Source organism: Homo sapiens, chromosome 12, assembly GCF_000001405.40.
Source record: "Homo sapiens chromosome 12, GRCh38.p14 Primary Assembly".
NCBI classification, from domain to species: domain Eukaryota; kingdom Metazoa; phylum Chordata; class Mammalia; order Primates; family Hominidae; genus Homo; species Homo sapiens.
This window is the reverse complement of record NC_000012.12, coordinates 42,610,692-42,615,502: the sequence shown is the minus strand read 5'-3', so window position 1 is coordinate 42,615,502 and position 4,811 is coordinate 42,610,692. Positions and strand designations below refer to the sequence as shown.

Sequence of the window (4,811 nt, the reverse complement as noted above, 5' to 3'; positions counted from 1 at the left end):
ATATAGCCAATCACAATTCTTGCTGCACTTTATGCAAATAACCAGGCCAAGTATAATAAGACTAAAACTTATCTTGAAAATACATTTGTCCTACTGTAATTTGTCTTTGGTAGAAATAGAGGACCGTAGAAATAAAAATTATGTTCCAAAAGAAAACTAGAGTATACCTGTTATGAGATTCCAGCTGTGTCCATTATTTTTGAGTTTTTATTATATGCCTACACTTTGGATTGAATTCTGAATTTTTTTCTGGCCACACGTCTCCAAACTAATATTTCCAAATGCTTCTTTCGTTTTCCTGACTTGGAATCACTAGACACTAAAACTGTGCTTTTCTTAAAGCCTTGCAAACTGAAGCTAAGCAACTTAAATGAACTTCAGGAGAAATCCAAGCAACTTTTATAAATCATCTTCTCACCTCCTGATGTATGGACTACTCAGAAAGTTTACTTGAACACTTAATTCAAACTACAATCCAGAAAAATCTGTCAGATTGCCATTGCAATTTGAAGATGCTTCAGAGACTCTAGAAAAATTAGTCTATAGAGTACTCCAGATATTAACCTTTTTCTTCTTTTTCCATAGAAATGCCTCTTATTAAAGATCTGTTTGCCTACATCATATGTAGAGGCCTATCCTATCTGCAATGCCACCTCTTAGAATGGGACACAGCCATTTAACTAAACTGATCTATTCTCAGGGCTAAGAGGCTGATTAAAGAAGATATGGGTTGATATATTTAAAGTCGTTCTTTTGTGTTTATCCCAATTTGTCTCCACTCCTTTGTCTAGCAACATCTAGCCCAAATCCCTCCAGTGGGATCAACTTGGTTTTTAATATGTGAAAATTTTTTAACGTTTCAAAGTGGAGTCTGAAGGAAAGAAAAATATTTTTCCTCAAAATACACTTCTTTGACATATTTTTGAGATGGCTACCAGAGAGCCAGCAAAATGAAGTAGCACCCTCCAAACCTGTGGTTTGTGGAGAAAATTTGCATCTGTAGAAAATCTGCATTGATGCAGCCAGACACTCCCTCATCCAGACCCAGCAAACATTAACTGAGAGTCTGACATCTTTAAAGGACTGGGCGGGGGAGAAATTTACCATTTAATCTCACTGAGGACTGCTACCTCTGAGGTTCCATTTACATAATAAGATCACTTTTGCTAGCCAAGTCTCCTGTTCTCTCCTTCCCATAACCTGTCTTGCCACTAAAACCCAATTTACCATCACAACTTGTTTTTGGCCATGCACCAAGTCCCCATTCTTTCTGTCATCTTGAGATGGCATATAAGCTTCTGCACCCCAGTGGGGAGTTGGGTCTTCATTCTGAAGTGTTCCCATCTACAATGTAAACATTAATGATAAATTAGCATACTCTTTCTCCAATTAGCCTGCCTTTTGTGGAGTGATTTGAACCTTCTGAGGACAAAGAGGAAGTTTTCCTTTTACCCTTGCACTTCTTTACAGCTTCCTTGACCAGGCCCTTGCTTACACACCCAGGATCTCAGCCTCATCTCATTTTGCAGCACATTGATGTTCCTGTCTTCCCCCAGTCCTCCTCTTCGCCATACAAAGTTGTGCCACACATGTTCTGCATCTGTCAGAATGACCTGCAGCTACACACTCCAAAATACTTACACACACAGTATCTCCTGAGGATGTACATAGGTTCACTCTCTCTCTCTCTCTCACACACACACACACACACCACACACACACACACACACACACACACACACACCACTCAGCTCTTACTATCCTAGGACTCTCGGTCGGGTCTTTGACAAGCCAAGCCTCCCCTTGCTTGCTGTGTCTTTCCCCCTCCTCTAGGCTCTGCCAGGCATGACTCATTTGCCACTTTACTCCATCCCATGGTTCCTGTAGATGGCAGGGGGAAGTGGGATCATTGGCCGTGAGTACCAAATGATCTATTATTATGGAAAATTCTTTTCCAGATGAAACTCCTTGGCCATCTGGCAAAATGTGTAATGAGGGGAAACCAAAAGGAGAAGGAAAAACCCATGAAACATTTGCTCATTTCAGGTTGGGAAGGAAGATAAAAACAGAATATGGTCTACTCAAATGCATCTACTAACACAAAGCATAAGACAGAGCAGCCTATATTAGTGAAAGAAGCATCTGTATTTCACCCCTGTGCACATAATAGTTATTATTGGTTTAGAGATGGGGTCTCGCTATATTGCCCAGGCTGGATTTGAAGTCCTGGGCTCAGCCTCAAGCTTCCATCTCAGCCTCCCACCTCAGTCTCCCAAGTAGCTGGGACTACAGGCATGCACCACCATACCTGGCTGATAATATTTATTTATTTTTTTTTTTTGAGACAGAGTTTTGCTTTGTTGCCCAGGCTGGAGTGCAGTGGTGCAATCTCGGCTTACTGCAACCTCCGCCTCCCAGATTCAAGCGATTCTCTTGCCTCAGTCTCCCGAGTAGCTGGGATTACAGGCATACACCATCACGCCCAGCTAATTTTTTGTATTTTCAGTAGAGACAAGGTTTCACCATGTTGGCCAGGCTGGTCTCAAACTCCTGACCTCAAGTGATCCACCTGCCTCAGCCTCCCAAAGTTCTGGGATTATACGCGTGAGCCACAGTGCCTCGCCTGGCTCATAATATTTAAATTGTAGATTTGAAACTAACTTTTGCCAGGAGAAACTTGTGAGAGGCAATATTTTTAATGGTGTTAGTTGGGGAGAACATTTGCATTTTTGCCTGATACAATGTGTGAATAACATTTATTTGCCTTGCTCTTCCTAAGTAAAAGTAAAAACCATTCTGTGATTTTTGTTTATGTTAATTTATGAAAAACATTTTAATGTCAAAAATAAAAAATTATCTAACATTTCCATTTTATGCCCATATTCTGAATATGTACTCTCCCTGATTTTTAAATATTCTACTCATGTAACCTGAAATCAGAACAGCAAGTCCCAAGGACAGAGTTAGAATCATAATATATTCCTTCTCTTATAAAGCTATAGATCAGCCACAGTGAAGATTTGTCCACTTTATTTCCAACTGAGACAGAATTTTGGCATGAGACAGAGAAAGAATGTGCTTTATGAGAAACAGACAATGCTGACTTTTCCTCAACTTGGCTCTGACAAGCAGAAAGTTATTTTCCAGTAATGAAAGTACAAGAATATTTCTGTTTGGATAATAATCATATTTGAATTAGTCACATGAAAATGGGATATGAATTATCCATGTCAAAAGGGGAAAAGAGAGTGGTGATTATCAAAACACTTTCAAGGTCCTCTTAGTTTTCCTGGTATGCAAAAAGATGCCAGTATGCAAATTTCAAAACATCTTAATCAGCCTTTCAAGAATAAATCATTCCTGAGTCCTTAGATCCCTAGGGAGGGGCCCAAGACTCAGCATTTTATCTGCCTAAGAAGACCAAGATCTTTCTGTTGGGTGCCCATTCCCATATGTGAAACTTTCAACTTTGACTCTGCCTTTTAGATCCTTGTTTCTTTCCTGATTGTAGCTACATCGTGCTCTTTATTATTTGCAGTCCTTGGCTCTGGTCTCCCACCTCTTGCACACGCCACAAATTTCCCCTCAAGGAATGAGTCTATGACTGTGAAAGAAAAAAAGAAGAAAACCTCCCATTTCCCAGCTTGGTGAGGAACTGTGTGTTTACACTTTTCCCTCTTCCCCTCTGTATCTTCATCTGCTTCTTGGAGTGGTGACAATGCCAACTGCAACACTGACTCGACAAATGCAGACTAGTGAAGATTCTTTTGATTAGAAGCAACAGAAGAAAACTTCACACTTGCTAGAGCCAAAAAAACAAGGTAGGAGAAGGAGATTTATCATAAAGATACAGAGGTGATTCATATAACCCAAGAACAGGAAGACAGCGAGGCCTCAGGAAGACTAGAACAGGGAGGGAAGAGGGGTGAAAGCTTTCTCCATGTCTCCTCACAACCCTTCACTTCATCCTTCTTAATGTGATGATACTTGTCCACCCAGTGAATATGAAATGGCTGCCCATAATTCCAAAGTTTCAGTCTCACAGAGAGACAGAGCTTCCTTAGAAACCCAGGGGAAAAAAAAAAAGTTCTAATTGGCCCAGGTGCACACCGTTGACCTAATCAGCCGTGGCCAGGGAGGGAAGGATCAGATTCCCATACTGAGAGGTGACAGCGTGCTGGCATCCCTCACAGCCCTTGCTCACTCTCGGGGCCTCCTCGGCCTGGGCTCCCACTCTGGCCACGCTTGAGGAGCCCTTCAGCCTGCTGCTGCACTGTGGGAGCCCCTTTCTGGGCTGGCAAGGGCAGGAGCCAGCTCCCTCAGCTTGCAGGGAGGTGTGGAGGGAGAGGCGCGGGCTAGAACGGGGGCTGCGCGCGGTGCTGGTGGGCCAGCATGAGTTCTGGGTGGGTGTGGGCTCAGGACCTGCAGCCCGCCATGCCTGAGCCTTCCCCCCAACCCACCCCCCGCCCCTACCGTGCGGCCAGAGCCTCCCTGACGAGTGCTGCCCCTGCTCCACGGTGCCCAGTCCCATCGACCACCCAAGGGCTGAGGAGTGCGAGCACACGGGGCAGGACTGGCAGGCAGCTCCACCTGCGGCCCTGGTGCAGGATCCACTGGGTGAAGCCAGCTGGGCTCCTGAGTCTGGTGGGGACTTGGAGAACCTATATGTCTAGCTAGGGGATTGTAAATACACCAATCGGCACTCTGTATCTAGCTCAAGGTTTGTAAACACACCAATCAGCACCCTGTGTCTAGCTCAGGGTTTGTGAATGCACCAATCGACACTCTGTGTCTAGCTACTCTGGTGAGGA

General features: G+C 43.7%; 1 annotated feature.

Annotated features, from left to right (window-relative positions):
• Nucleotides 3,690–3,890: a silencer, noted in NCBI's record as "peak1688 fragment used in MPRA reporter construct". NCBI's record gives its function as "represses an SCP1 promoter by STARR-seq MPRAs in K562 erythroleukemia cells {active_cell/tissue: K562}" and the evidence as "EXISTENCE:reporter gene assay evidence [ECO:0000049][PMID:32103011]".